The sequence below is a fragment of the Homo sapiens genome, chromosome 5, assembly GCF_000001405.40.
Source record: "Homo sapiens chromosome 5, GRCh38.p14 Primary Assembly".
Lineage (NCBI taxonomy): Eukaryota > Metazoa > Chordata > Mammalia > Primates > Hominidae > Homo > Homo sapiens.
The window spans coordinates 5392262-5407975 of NC_000005.10; the positions used below are offsets into that span (position 1 = coordinate 5392262).

The 15714-nt window shown below is 42.9% G+C and overlaps 1 long non-coding RNA gene and 3 pseudogenes across 5 annotated transcripts in view; all 4 read right to left on the reverse strand.

Moving 5' to 3' along the window:
• The window catches only part of LOC101929200 (uncharacterized), a 163580-nt gene that overhangs the window by 133712 nt on the left and 14154 nt on the right, over positions 1 to 15714 (reverse strand). The window contains exon 3 of one of the 5 annotated variants that reach the window (XR_001742584.3): positions 687 to 819. The exons of 3 other annotated variants lie outside the window; for them this stretch is intronic. This is a non-coding gene — a long non-coding RNA (uncharacterized LOC101929200). Of the gene's footprint in view, positions 1 to 686; positions 1762 to 15714 lie in introns of all 5 variants that reach the window. One more of the 5 variants, XR_007059118.1, reaches the window with a different exon arrangement.
• On the reverse strand, positions 3117 to 3696 carry MTCO1P30 (MT-CO1 pseudogene 30; annotated as a pseudogene).
• MTCO2P30 (MT-CO2 pseudogene 30) lies at positions 3711 to 4074 on the reverse strand (annotated as a pseudogene).
• Positions 4216 to 4707, reverse strand: MTCO1P31 (MT-CO1 pseudogene 31; annotated as a pseudogene).

A 15714-nucleotide genomic window follows, 5' to 3' on the forward strand; every position in this document is an offset into this window, starting at 1 on the left:
ATTGATTCATGGGGGCAGTTTCCCCCATACTGTTCTCATGGTAGTGAATAAGTCTCATGAGATCTGATGGTTTTATAAGGGGAAACCCCTTTTGCTTGGCGCTCATTCTCTCTTGCCTGCTGCCATGTAAGACATGCCTTTTGCCTTCCACCATGATGGTGAGGCCTCCATAGCCACATGGAACTGTGAGTCCATTAAACCTCTTTTTTTTTTTTTTTTTTTAAATAAAGTACCTGGTCTCAGGTATGTCTTGATCACTAGTGTGAAAATAGACTAATACACCAGCTGACTACCCCCCAAAAACAGGAACTTCAGTCCTACAACCACCACCAACCTGAGAGAGCCTCTGACAGGACCACAGCCCTGACTGAGCCCTGATTGTAGCCTACTGAGACTCAGAGTGGAGGCCACAGCTGGTCTATGCCTGAACTTCTGACCTACTGAGAGTGGAGGTAACTGGTGTGTGATGTTTCGAGTCACTAGGCTGTGGTCATTTGTTATGCAGCCTCAGGTAACAAACACAGACAGCTTCCCTCTCCTTTGAAAACACATCAGCCAAATGCCTTTCATTACTGCAGCCACCTCTAGGCTAAGAGAATGTGAACCCTTGAGTATTCAGTATCTGCCGGATCAGAACTTACAGGATATTGAGGGGGACATGCAGCCTGGAAGAGCTGGAAGCTCACCTGGCTCTTGCCGCTCTGCCTTGATGGACTCCTATGGACACAAGCAATGCCACAGAGCACCAACACTGGACAGGGACACACTGTGATGGTGGGGGCGGGGGAAAGGCAAATCAATACCCCTCTGTAATCTGGTCTGGTCACAAACAAAAACAAGAACGTGGTCAATACCACAAATACGCCTAGGCATCCCCCACCCCGGCTTATGTGAGCAGCTGCTGCTTTTACATCAATTGTAGCACCAGCCTCACTCCATTTCTCCCACCTTCCAGGACAATTAAGACATTCAACCACAGAATTACTCCCACTTCCAGACAGCACTCCATCTGAGCATGGCCTGTGTATTAGTCAGGGTTCTCTAAAGGGACAGAACTAATAGGATAGATGTATATATGAAGGGGAGTTTATTAGGAGAATTGGCTCACATGATCACAAGGGGAAGTCTCACAATAGGCCGACTGCAAGCTGAGGAGCCAAGAAGCCAGTCTGAGTCCCAAACTTCAAAGGTAGGGAGGCTCACAGTGCAGCCTTCAGTCTGCGGCTAGAGGCCTGGGAGCCCCTGGCAAACCAATGGTATAAGTCCAAGAGTCCAAAAAAAAAAAAAAAGCTGAAGAACTTGGAGTCTGATGTTCGAGGGCAGGAAGCATCCAGCATGGGAGAAAGACGAAGGCTGGAACACTCAGCAAGTCTGCTCATTCCAACTTCTGCCTGCTTTATTTTAGCTGCTGTGGCAGCTGATTAGATGATGCCCACCCAGATTGAGGGTGGGTGTGCCTCTCCCAGTCCACTGATTAAAAAGTTAATCTCCTTTGGCCACACTCTCACATATACACCCAGGAATAATCCTTTGCATCCTTCAATCCAATCAAGTTGACACTCAATATTAACCATCACAGCCTGTTTCCTTGGCCCTCCCCAAGATCACCTTGTATAAGCCAAACCCTCCAAGTCTTTCCCAAGGCCCTCTCACTGCTGCTGCTGAGCTGCTGCTGGGTCCTGGTGGTGCACAGCCTTCCTTGTTGTGATGAGCCAGTCGATGGCTTCAACTTTGCTGAGCTACAGGTGTGTTCCTGGTGGCCTTTAGATGACATCATTGACAAGATTATGACCAAGATAATTTTGATGCATCCTAGTTTCAGCTTAAAATTTGGGAAAACATTCATTTAAAAATAACCCATGCCAAGGTTTTCACAAAATACAATCAAAATCAGGGCATATTAGTAGCTAGCTCATATGTGTACCTGCTCGGTATGTGCTGTTGTCATTGATGTCTGGAATGAAGTAATGAATTAGAAAGTCTTCAAGCACCAAAGAATGATTTAATTAACTATATTTACATAGTGTATATAACACATATAACATAATTACTATGTACTAAAAGATAAGAAATTATAATTGTGCATTTTAGAAAGATTTGGTCAAACGAGGAGGTATGAGGATTTTATCATGATTCTCAATTTCACAAGCATTTCTGTAAATCAGGAGCCTACTGTACTAACTAGAAATGGTGGATGGGTTTTTAACTTCAATTCCATCCATCACGTCCCATCTAAATGCTCTGAGGTGGTAACAACAAACTGTGTCCTAGATCTTCTTCAAGCTGAAGTGCTTTGGGATGATCGCATATTCCAACAATGCCCCCTGGAGGCCAGTTGGCCAGGGCCAGTGGACACTTATCCCCACAGAAGCAGGTCTGTGCCACTTCTCAGCTGTCAGGGTTTGGATTTCCACCCTGATCCAGCTGCTAAACTGTCCCTACCACGTGTCCCTCACCCACTACCAGCCAGTGACTCCTAGCTCATGCAATTTCCGGTGCTCACCTCTTGCTGTCCCCCACCTGGCCCTATCATAAGTTTGTGTCCATGTTGCATTCAGTGCATGAGACACTGAGAGTGGTCCCCAGCTGACAGCCACCCATGATTCATTGACAGAAGAGAAAGGGGACACAGGGAAGAAATCTGTTACACCGGCGAGACAGAAGCTGCCCCTTTACAAAGGTGCATGGTGGGGAAGGCAGAGACATCCCAGCTGTACTGCAAAAAGACCACATTTTGAAAGATGGTTTCAAGGCCAGGCATGGTGGCTTACGCCTGTAATTCCAGCACTTTGGGAGGCTGAGGCAGGCGGATCACGAGGTCAGGAGTTTGAGGCCAGCCTGGGCAACATGGCGAAACCCCATCTCCACTAAAAATGCACCAATTAGCCGGGCGTGGTGGTGGGTGCCTGTAATCCCAGCTATTCAGGAGGCTGAGGCAGGAGAATCGCTTGAACCCAGGAGGCGGAGGTTGCAGTGAACCGAGATCGTGCCATTGCACTCCAGCCTGGGCAACAGGAGCAAGACTCCATCTAAATAAATAAATAAATAAATAAATAAATAAATAAATAAATAAATAAAGATGGTTTCAAACCACATGTTCAGTCAGTGTAGAAAATACATAATAGCAAAATGAGCTTTAGCCTAGGCTTGATTGAGTATATAGCCTGAAAATAGAGAGAATCAGTGAATAAAACCCCCTATAATAGCAAATACGGCTCCTATTGATAAGACGTAATGTAAATGGGCTACAACATAATATGTGTCATGTAATTACAATATCCAATGATGAGTTGGCTAGTACAATGCCGGTCAAGCCTCCTACTGCAAAAAGGAAAATAAACCCCAAGGCTCAGAGCATTGCAGGGGATCATTTAGTATTGCCGCCATGAAGTGTAGCTAGTCAGCTAAAAACTTTGACGCCAGTGGGAATAGCAATAATTATCGTAGCAGAGGTGAAGTAGGCTTGTGTATCTACATCTATGCCTACTGTAAATATATGGTGAGCCCATACGATAAACTCTAAGAAAACAATTGATATTATAGCTCACATCATGCCCCTATATCCAAATGGTTATTTTTTTCCAGAATACTATGTTATGATATGGCAAATTATCTTGAAGCCTGGTTGGAGGAGGATGTAGACTTCAGGGTGACCAAAGAATCAGAATAAATGTTGACAGAAGATAGGATCACCTCTGTCTGTTGCTGGAAGTATATGAGAGTCAAAGCTTAATTCTTCATAATCTGTATATTCATAGCTTCAATACCATTGATGCCCAATTGTTTTAATGGTGAGAGAAGGGTTCTTGATTTTGTCTGTTATATATAAGATGCATAGAGATGGGAGGGCGATCAAGACTAAGATGATGGCAGGCAAGATAGTTCAGATGGTTTCTAGTTCTTGGGCATCTATGGTGTTAGTATTAGTTTTGTTGTGAATATTACAGAAATAATGTATAGAAGTAAGGAACTGATTAGAAAAATAATTATAAGGGTATGGTCATGGAAGATAAGTGGTTCTTCTATAATAGGGGATGTGGTATCCTGAAGGCCTAATTTAGCTGGATGGGCCATTAAGATATATAGGGCTTAACCTATAACTTAACTTTGACAAAGTTATGAAATAATTTTACTAATATCTTATCGAAGAAGTCATGGAGGTTATGGGATTGGCTTGAAACCAGTCTTTGGGGGTTCAATTCCTTCCTTTTTCATTTAGGTTTTCATGTAGGTTGGTTCTTCGAATGTGTGATAGGGTGGGGGACAGCCACATAGTCATTCTAAGTTGGTAGATGGTCGTTCAATTATTAGAACTTTTCGTTTTGAAGCAAAGGCTTCTCAGATCATGAAAATTATTAGAATTACTGCTGTCAGGGAAATAAATGAGCCTATGGATGAGATAGTATTTCATGTGGTGTATGTGTCGGGATAACCGGAGTAGCGTTGAGGCATGTCAGATAGGCCGAGGAAATGCTGTGGGAAAAATGTTAAATTGACGCCTATAAATATAATAGCAAAATGAGCTTTAGCATAGGCTTGGTTGAGTATATAGCCTGAAAATAGACAGAATCAGTGAATAAAGCCCCCTATAATAGCAAATACAGCTCCTATTGATAAGATGTAATGGAAGTGGGCTACAACATACTATGTGTCATGTAATACAATATCCAGTGATGAGTTGGCTAGTACAATGCCGGTCAAGCCTCCCAGCTGTTCCTATAGGGATTATAGTCAGTCATGGGAAGCTTCTCTTATTGTGCAAAGGAGAAATAGATTTCCTTACAACACCACGTGAAGGCAGAATTCTGGAAACCTGCCTTGGGGACTATCTTTCCTTAATTAAACATCCTAAGAAACAAGGGCAAAGCACTGTAGCCTGGCATAGTTTGGATCTTCAGAAAATCTTATCAGAATTTTCCAAAAATTGAGAAAAGAGATATAGGATCAAAATGAGACTTTCATGAAATGCCTCACTAAAAAAGAGCTGGAAGAGAACTTTCCTGAAATAAAGTAGAAAATATTGACAGAAAAAAAATACTGCAAGAAAAGCCCATGTTTGTGTGCATGGTCAGACATTATTTATAACTATTAACATGTTTTGGACACAACTGAGGAACAAGGTATCACACAGAAGAGGACAGTAAGAACAGAAAATTCCAGCTAAACCACTGAGACTGACCCAGCATAATCTTACAAATAGCCACTGTCCACATGCTGATGGCTGATCAAGACTCAGATCCCATCTACCTAACTTGCTGTGAGCCTCACTAATGTGTGGGGGCAAAGGTGCGTATCACCCTCAAAGCTGGCTTAGAACAGCCACACTGTATTCATCATGTGGACATCCTTAGGCACGTCCTAAAAATCTGAAAATATAAATTAGGCCATATTTAAGATGGACTTGCTGGCTGTCTATAAGATATGTAAGGGGAACTTGTGGTGAATTGTTTTGGAAATTCAATCTGGCCAGGCATGGGTGCTCATGCCTGCAATCCCGACATTTTGGGAGACCGAGGCAGGAGGATGGCTTGAGGCCAGGAGTTCAAGGCCAGCCTGGGCAACATGGCAAGACCTTGTCTCGACAAAAAAACACAAAAATTAGCTGGGTGTGGTCGTATGCACCTGTAGTCTTAGCTAATCAGGAGGCTGAGGTGGGAGGATCTCCTGAGCCCAGGAGGTCGAGGGTACAGTGAGCTGTGATTGCTCATTTGCACTTCAGCCTGGGCGACAGAGCAAGACTTTGTCTAAAAATAATAATAATAAATAAACAAATAAGAAGAGAAAATTCTATCTGGCTTCCCCAAGTTTATGTCTTTCATTTTTTTCTAGTGGGTTTTCATGGGGCCATAAGGAGAATGATGAATATAAAAATGCGTGAGCTCCTCTTAGGCATTTTGGAGGCTATGATGATTAACTTCATGTGTCAATTTGGCTGGGCTATGGTGCCCAGTTGTTTGATCAAACACTAGTATAAATGCTGCTGTGAAGCTATTTTTAAAATGTGACTCATAAATTAATGTGGGTGGGTCATCCAATCAGTTGAAGGCCTCAAAAGCCAAGACTGACATGTTCCAAAGAGCAAGCAATTCTGTCTCAAGACTGCAGCACAGAAACCCTGCCAAGGTGCCAGCCTGCTGCCCTGTGGAACTCAGACTCACGGCTGCAAGATCAACTCTTACCTGAATTTCAAGACTTCTCACCTGCCCTGCAAATTTAGGGCTCACTGGCCCCTCCAATCATATGAACAAATTCCAATCAATAAATAAGTAAATGAACAAATAAATCTCTCTCTCCCTTTATCCATCTGTCTCCAGTTGGCTCTGTTTTTTCTGGAGAACCCTGAATGACACAGGGCCTGCAGGTCACTTCCCGTCTAAGGATAGAATATCTGAGTGCCTGCACTGTTCCGTTGTCTTCTGCTAAGTGTCCATTGCTGACTTTCCCTTCCTTACTTCTTTTGGCCCCTTCCACTCAGTACAAACCCAGGCTATTTCTTCCATCTTTGGGTTGCTTATCAAGTGAAAATGAATTATGTATGCCTAAGACACGATGAGGAAGATAATTCTACTGCCATTAACACTATATAGTTTATTTCAAAGCCAAACAGAAATAACTTCAGGGCTTTGTACTGTTTAGAATCACCTCTTCAACTGGTTTCTTTCACTGACAAGGCATTTTAAGGGATGAATCTCTGGCATGGTAGAGAAAGCTGTGCATCATCCATTGACCTGACTGTCAGCAAATAGTCATGGAGGCCCTGTGGGGTATTCGGCACCGTGCCAACCACTGCCTCCCAGAGTTGGGACAGACAGACACCCTGCCCATATGCAGCCTCATAGACATAATATAACACTCAGTATTAGAGAGATATGAGACCTATAATAACAATTCTCAGTACTTATTGTCTGCTTACTATATCTTGGACACTGATATAAGTGCTTTACATAAATTAACTCATTTAGCCTTCGTACAAACCCTAGGAAATAGGTTCTGTGTCTATAATGAAGTTTAAAGTTATAAAAAAAATGAGTTAATTTGTTTCCAATTTCTGCTGTAGCAAATTGCCATAAAGTTGCTGGCTTGAAATAACAGGAATGTGTTGGGTGTGACCTACAGTTCTGGAGGTCAGAAGTCTGAAGTCAGTCTCATTCCAGTGTCTGAAGTCAAGGTGTGGGCTGGCTCCTTCTAGAGGCTTGAGAGGAAAACACATTTCTTTGCCTTTTCAGCCTCTGTTGGCTACATGCATTCCTTGGCTTGTAGCCCCTTCCTCTGTCTTCAAAGTGCTTCACTCCAGTCTCTCCTTCTGTCTGCACATTGCCTCTCCTCTCTATCAAACTCCCCTCTGCCTTCTCTCATAAGGATACTTGTGATTACATTTAGGGCTCTTCTGGATAATCAAGAACAATCTCTCCACCCCAGGATCTCTAAGCCTAATTATATCTGCAAAGTCCCTTTTGCCGTACAAGATAGAAGGGGTTGGCAGTGGGTAACTCTGGAGCCATTATTCAGCCCACCACCCGCAGACACAGAGACAGGGCTTACCCCAGATGATGGTGCTGGTCAGTGTTGGCATCTAGATCAATGGCAGACACTTTTAACCACCTTGCACATGGCCTTGCATGGTCCTCAAAGAGACGTGCACTCAACAGTGAGCACAGGACACCAAGCAACTACAATGACCTGGCCATGATGGCATTTCTGCTACCAAATGCTGCTCCCCAAAAGTCCTACCAGAGCAGGCTGGTGATAAAGCAAAAATGAGCTTGTTGTTTACCAAAGTCAGGGGAACACCATCTGGATTGTCTTAGGTTCATCTTGGAAAGGGTGGGACAAAGGAGGGACATTTATGAGGTTTTCATTGTCTAGTTTACAGCAGGTTTTCAAAAGGGGAGGGTGGTTAGGATCGGTTAGTGTTCATGATACACTCATTTGGGAGGGGTGTGTACATCTCCTAAGGTATAATCTGTTATAGAAGATCCAATGTCTTTATTGTATACTGACTAGCTGAATGTCGATTTAAGTTAATTTTGGAGAAGTCACTGAAATTAGCAAAAATGTTGTTTGATAAGTTTAATCTTCCTGGGCAAGAGTTAGCTGCAGTAGCAATGTCAGGTTGGTTAAGACAGTGGAAGAATAAATGGACGTTAGTGTAGACAGTAAACTAATGTGGGTGTAGATGTTTTGATTCTCAACACTCAGCCCACCAAAAATGCCTGGGTGAATCAGAGGAAAGAAAATCGTGTCGCAGTGTGAGGCTGTTGCCTCTGGGAGGCCCCCACTTCATAGAAAACCCAGAAGTCACCCCAAGACATTGAGAGAGCAGTGGCGAGTTGGGAGCGGAGACTCTGGGTGACCTACAGAGAAGGCAGCTGTCGGACAGGACATTTTCTTCACAAGACTTCCAAAGGCCACACCCAGAATGACTTCCACGGGTGTGTTCAAAAGGAAATGGAGAAGAATTCCTTAAGGGACAACCGCGTGTGCTGCAAGCGATTAGCCCACAGAATTCTGATCTGCACACCCACTAGCCACGTAGGAGTGCATTTCCACACTGGAAGAAAGAGCATGCCAGTTACTGTGTGCTGGGGTTAATTTTAAAAGTGGGCACAATGTGAGCCTTTTTAAAAGAAAAAATTTGAAAAAACAAGGAGGCCATTTTGTTAACCACGTGGACCTACTTTCAATGAAAGTTCAGTCTGCAGCAATGGGGGAGACAGAAATTAACAAGTACTGAGATTTTGACTATGTCTTCATATTTTAACTTCTGTTACTTACTGGGAACCAATTTGTCAGCCAGATACATTATATATGCAATGACCTCAACACAGGGGAAAGTCTTGTTGCCCTCATTTTATGACGTGTGAATAAAGACCCTCTTCAAAGGTTATGTGGCCACGGCCACACAGTAAGAGGTTGTGTCCTAAGAGTCTCCGTCTTTGCATCACGCCTTGCACATTTCTAGAAGTCAAGTATTTCTAGAAGGCAAGCCCCTTAGCTTCTGCTCCGCTTACTGTTACACTGTGCTGCGTTTGCACAGTATGTACATACAAATCCACACGCTGGCATGAATCATCCACTGTAGTCTGTGCGTTTTTATTTCTGTCTCATAGAAAAAAAGAAATCCATCCCTAGAAAGGTTTCTTCCTTGGAAGTCCAAATTGTTATACAAATCTCTTCCATGCCCTTCCCTGACTTCCCAAAAAGCTCAATATTCTTGCTTCCCAAATTCCTTCCCTGCAACTTAAAGACCCCTGAAACCCACTTTTACATAATCTTTCCTTATTACTCCCTAGACAATCTTCCTTGCAGCCATATGCTGATACACACCTCCCTTCATTAAGCCAATATTTTTATGCCAGGTGCCCTTGCCAAAATTGTTCCGTCTCCCCTGGGAATGCGCTAACTCTAATGGCTCAGTTCTTGGCAATCCTGTCTTAGCCTCCAGCTCTGAATTCAAGGCCTATCTCCTCTGTGAAGTATGCCTGGATGTCCGGTGAAAAGTCCTGCCCTGACCCTGCCCTGCTACCCCTGCGCCTCTGTCATTGTGCTCAGGGGAGAGCATCATAACTCGCAAGGGGCTCACCTGGCCAGTATGTGAACACCCTGAGGACAGGGAGTATATCTTCGCCACCTCTACTTCCCCAGAGCAGTGCCTGGCCTGGAGCAGATGTTTAGCTTGTTCGATAAATTAGGATCGAATAGGAATGTGTTGATTTCTAACACAAACCCTTACTTTTCTGGGAAGATGTTTAGATGAGGAAATCATGTACTTTATTCCTATAACATACGGGAGTTTCATCAATCTAGTGGGATATAGGAGTTTCCCCTCAAAAACAACAACAACAAAAAATAGTAAAACTTTGGATAAGTGAATTGAAAACATAAACTCTGGCAGAAACAAGGATTTTTTTCTTCTTTTCTAAATTAGTACCACTTGGTTCAAGGACAAAAGGTCACCTTTGTCAAGTTCAAAATTTATCGGATTTCTTTTGCTTCTCTCAAATTTTAGATCCGTGACTTAAACATACTTCATGAGGAAAGTTACACTGGTCTCTTCATGTTGCTGTTTATCAGAGGAAAGAGACGCTTTACAAACAATGCTGCACTTCACAGGACTCCTGATAAATGAGTCAACAGATTTACTCCCATTTGGGGGGCAGGAAATCTCAGATACAAGTGAAAAAACATTTTATGCACAGAAGACACGCATAACTGAGCTGATATTAGAACACACAGTATTTACCATCACCCTCCAGGGTTGATTGCGTGAGCTGTTTCCCCATCCATGATTCCCAAATGTCCCTTCAGTTGAATAATTATGGATTAAACCCTGCTTTACGAATCGATTTGTAATATGCATTGTGTATGACACAGTGATAATCTGAGTTCTCAGGATTTATAACCTACACATTAAAAGAATATAGAACAGTTTAAGAGCTAACAAACCAAAAACAAAACAAAACAAAAAAACACATAAAAACAAAAACATCCAAGAGATAGCACAAGGCAGTGTGAGATTGAATGCATGGCTCAGTTCTTTTCTAAATCCTGCAGGCGTTCACAGGACAGAGTGGTTATTCTGAGCTAGATAAATGAGGGGCAAATCATGGGAAAGGTGGGTCCTGAGCAGGAAGTCAAAGGTGGCAGAATTTGGGCAGATGAAGGTAGCCAGTCAGCACTCTCCAGGAGGGAGATGTTTGGAATGAGGGCACAGCTAGAATGATCTGCTGCATGACAGGGGGCTGAGAGTTGGTATAATGTACCAATCAGTAATAAGGCTTCAAAGACGTGCGGGAAGCAGAGGGGAGGCTGCTAACTCCATACTATGGTGTTGGGGGCTTTGTCTTGTAGTTTACCTTAGTGACTGGGTTTTTAAAACAATAAAATAACATGCTTATTTTTGTTTTGTTGTTTTGCTTTGTCTTGAGACAGGGTCTCACTCTCTTGCCCAAGCAGGAGTAGAGTGGCACCATCATAGCTCACTGCAGCCTCAAACTCCTGGGCTCAAGTGATCCTCCTGCCTCAGCTTCCCAAGTAGCTGGGACTAGACGTGTGTGCTACCATGCCCAGTTGATTATTTTTTGTATTTTTTGTAGAGATGGGGGTCTCACCGTGTTGTCCAGTCTGGCCTCAAACTGCTGGCATAGAGCAATCTCCCTGCCTTAGCTTCCCAAAGTGCTGGGATTACAGATGTGAGCCACTGTGTCCAGTTCTCTTTTTTTTTTTTTAAGAAAATGAATGTGTCAAAGCTCTAAAAGCTCTAAAAGAATGCGGAATGGGATGAGTGAAGCCACATCATAGATGAGTAGGTGATGCTGGGTATACCTGTGTGGTCATGGAGCCTGCCTGTGCTGGGAGTGAGGCAGTAGGGAGGAGAAGAAAGAGAATTTCAGAGAAGGCATGAAGAAAACAGTCAGCAGAGAGCTGACAGGGAGAATGAGCTATCATTGATAGAAAGGAGGAAGATAAACTGAGAAACCAGCTTGGGAAAAATCGAGAGTTCATATGTAGTTTTTGTGTCTTCTTCCAAAGCACTGGAAGAAAGTATCCAAGCCATACTCAGGCTAAGAAGCAAGAAGCAGGAATCACTAGCTATCTTAAATAGCTCTGCATTAATAGCTTAATGCATTCTCTGCATTAAGCTACTCTTAACAGGAAGCGCACACAGCAGGGATGGGCCAACTCAGCCTTAAAGAGGCAAAGCCCATGTTGTGGAACTCATGTTTAATCTTCATCCCTGACACCATGGCCGTCTTATTCCTGAACTCACTGGGAAAACACAGATGGCATAAGAAAAGGCTGCCTGACCTTCACAGGCTGGTCATCTCCCCACGTGGTTCCTGAAACACTTATCTGAAATTGATGTCCTTTGGTTAAGAATCATAAAAAACATAAAGAATCATAAAGAACACAAGTATCCTATATTCTGTGCTTATGCCTCTTCTAGAGAACTTTTTGTCACTGATTCTCCAGGGTTATTTCTTTCAGGTCTTCAAGTATCCAACCTGCCATCGACTTCCTATGAATCAGTTGTGAGCTATACATCTGGACGTGTATCCTTCCAAAAAAAAAATAAGACATTTCATATTCTGCTCGATTTCTTCCCTTGGGAGAAATTCCCTTTACTACTCTTCTGTCGGAGCAAACCTGGGAAGAGCTGCAGAAATCCCTCATGAGCTGTTACCAGCATACCATGCAGAACCTTCTGTAAACTAGCATCAACATTTGTTTTCCTCAGGCAATCAAGGGAGGCCACAGTTGAGGGCTGGTTAAAAGAGAGACACCTGTGCGTCATTGGTGGGCATGCTGAGAGATGAGTCTCTGGATCACGCTTACGCTCAGCCTCACATATGCCACTTTCATTCCACCCCGTGCTGTTATAAAAGTCAAATTGTGTGACTCATGATTTAGATCTTATGGTCACTTAATGTCCCATAGTTAGGCATCTGGTCTCTACCAGGGCCCAGGAGCAACAAAGAGCCATTTCAGAAAAAAAAAAATGTTGTAATTATTTTCCAAAAAAGCATTACTAGGTGATATGGTTTGGATTTGTGTCCCCCGGCCAAACCTCATGTCAAATGGTAATCTCCAGCGTTGGAGGAGGGTCTGGTAGGAGGTGACTGGATCATGGGGGCAGATCTCCCGCTTGCTGTTCTCCTGATAGTGAGTTCTTGCAAGATCTGGTTGTTTAAGAGTGTGCAGCGCCTCCTCCTTCTCTTTTTCCCTCCTGCTCTAGCCCATGTAAGATGGGCCTGCTTGCCCGCTGCCTTCTGCCATGATTGTAAGTTTCCTGAGGCCTCCATAGCCATGCTTCCTGTGCAGCCTGGGGAACCATGAGCCAATTAAACCTCTTTTCTTTATCAATTACCCAGTCTCAGGTAGTTCTTTATAGCAGTGTGAGAATGGACTAAGACACTAGGCTTGCAATAGTTTCCATGAAGCATCTCGTCCTTCCTCTTGCATCAGCTGGGATACCAGATAGCAGATCTCATTGCCCTCTCTTGCTTCAAGCTCTCCTTAAAACTGTATTTTCAAGGTACTCAATAAGTGGGTCAGCACAGCATACCTAAAGGAGGTATACCCTGCCTCCAACATCAGATTAAAAAAAAAAAGGCTGACCAAATAAAAAAGGAGCATTGAGTTTCATTTCAATATCAGATGGAATGAAAGTTTAATGCTTATTTTTTAGTTATAGGGTGTCAAATAACAACAACTGACTTTCACTCCCCACAGTTGGGTTACATCTGGCCTAGCAGAAACTCCAAAGTTTTGGTGGCCCTTGCAAATTTTCATTGGGCTTTCATCTCCCCTGCTCTATCTTACATGTGATTGCCAGGATATTTCTGGCTTACCTAGTTCAATAAGTATGATGTCATCAAGAAATTGAACCAATATACTGCCCTGTTGAATGGGAAGGTAATCAAGTTCCTTAGGGCTAAATTGTGATAGAGAATAAGAATGCTGGTATCTAGCGAAAGTAAAAGACTCCAGAATATCTGATACATTTTGCCCAAACTCATGTTCCTTTTACCCTGGCTTAACATCTTTATAATATATGACAAGACATATTACCTAGCATCTTCTGTAATTCAATATGAATAAATGTAAATTAATATAAATAAATATAAACAAATTGTAACGCATTGTAAGTACATTGACGAGTAACTCCTTTCTTCCTGAGTCAGATTCTGTACTGTGCCTCTGGGGTATGCGGGGATCTGATTATAACTATAGGTGTAGAGGCTGTGGGGGAGGTAGAAATTGGTATGAGAAGAACCGTCCTTTCTTCCAAGGTAACTACATTAGGTGTCGGTAGGTTTGGCCTCATCAAAGGAGGAGCCTCTGTTAGCAGGAGAAGCTCTGAAGTCCTCATTCCCTTGTCTCCTATTCTCACTCCTAACCAAAACATTTCCTATATTTGCTAAAGAAGACCTGGTGAACGAAGTTCTGAATCAACTTACACTGTAATTCAGTCATGTGCATGATTGGCCTCCATTTGGGAGTTTTGGCGAAATCTGGCCAGCAGCTACAAGAGATAAGCAATCATTTAGGACTTAGAGGCTTGTCACTGGACATACCTTGAACTGAGAATGTAAACCCCTGAGCTGGAATTTTCTTTCTTTGAACGCTTCAGTTTGGTCATGAGCAGCTGGCCCCCGCCCTCCTTAGAGTCCTCATTCTCACTATGATGTTGCTGCAGTCACTGGGTCCTCCCTCTGCCTTCAACAGGCTTTGTATTCCCAGGGACCACAGGTGATAATTTAAGCAGCTGTTTCTTAGTGTGTCATATGTCCAAGTTCTCATTTACTAGTGGTAATTAGGTTCTTACTGCCTTCAAATCCAACCAAGGCTGATAAGCAGTTGTATGGTCTTGTTCTTGAGGAACTGTTGCCTACAACTACTTTTTCTACCAAATTCCATATTAGTAAGCATTAAATTGCAAGAAATAAAAACAGGCACAAAAAGAAGAATACTGCATGATCTCACTTACATGTGGAATCTTAAGAAGTTGATCTCGTAAAAACAGAGAGTAGAAAGGTAGTTACCAGAGAGGGGGGCTGAAGGGTAGGGTCAGGGGAGATGTTGGGAGCTAAACAATGTGTACGCATGGACATAGAGAGTGGAATAATAGACATGGAGATTAGGAAGGGTGAGAAGGTGGGAGGGGTGAGGGATAAGAAATTACTTAATGAGTATAATGTACACTACTCCAGTAATGGTTATACTAAAAGCCCAGCCTATGTCACCACTACACAATATATCCATGTAATAAAAAATTGCACTTATACCCCTAAATTTGTACAAATGTTTTAAGCAAGACACAAAATTTCAATTAGCCTAGAGGAATAAGTTTTGGTGATCTACTGCACTGCATGGTGACCACAGTTAATCATAATGTATTGCATATTTCAAAACTGCCAAAAGAATAGATTTGTAACATTCTCTTTCCACACACACAAAACAATAAGTTAGTGAGGGGATGGACATATTAATTTGCTTGATTTAATTTTTCTACAATGTATCTATAAATCAAAACAGTACATTGTACCCCATAATATACACACTTGTTAATTTAAAATATATAATTTTTTAATCCCACCCTAACCATTTTAAGTAGAGAGGAATTTAAAATGGAGTGTCCACAATATTGCTGTACACCGGGTTGGAAAACTGGTTCCATCCTGGGCCTTCAGAAAGGACCCCAGAGCACTGCAAGCCAAAGTAGACCGAAGGCTGCTACCTCTGCTGAGTGAGGAAGGCACAGAGTCAGGAGAGCGTGCACCTGTGTCTGCAGGTCCTCCTTTCCTAGCGAAACAAGAAGGTTCCAGCCATCTCTGCTGCAAAGGGTCTTGATGCCTACAAGACGAGTGAGGACATCCTGGAACACTATGGGGATGGCAGGGCAAGCTCTCCTATACAGCCAGAGCAGCAGAAGCTGTTCTTTCCCTTGCTTCTTCCTTCCACAACTTCTGTGAGTGCATCTAATCGGCAGGCTCTAACTCACATCCAAAACTCTAACCATGAACATGTAGGGTTAGCTGTCTAGACCCTCCAATCCACAAAAGACCTACCAGAGGGAAGATTAAGGATGCTGTTGCCGACCACCTCTATCTACCACATTAAGCCATGTTTAAGATGATATCTACCATAACTTAATGCAATCATTTCCTTCGCTGTGATTTATCATATGCGTCATTTGTTGCAACCTCAGTA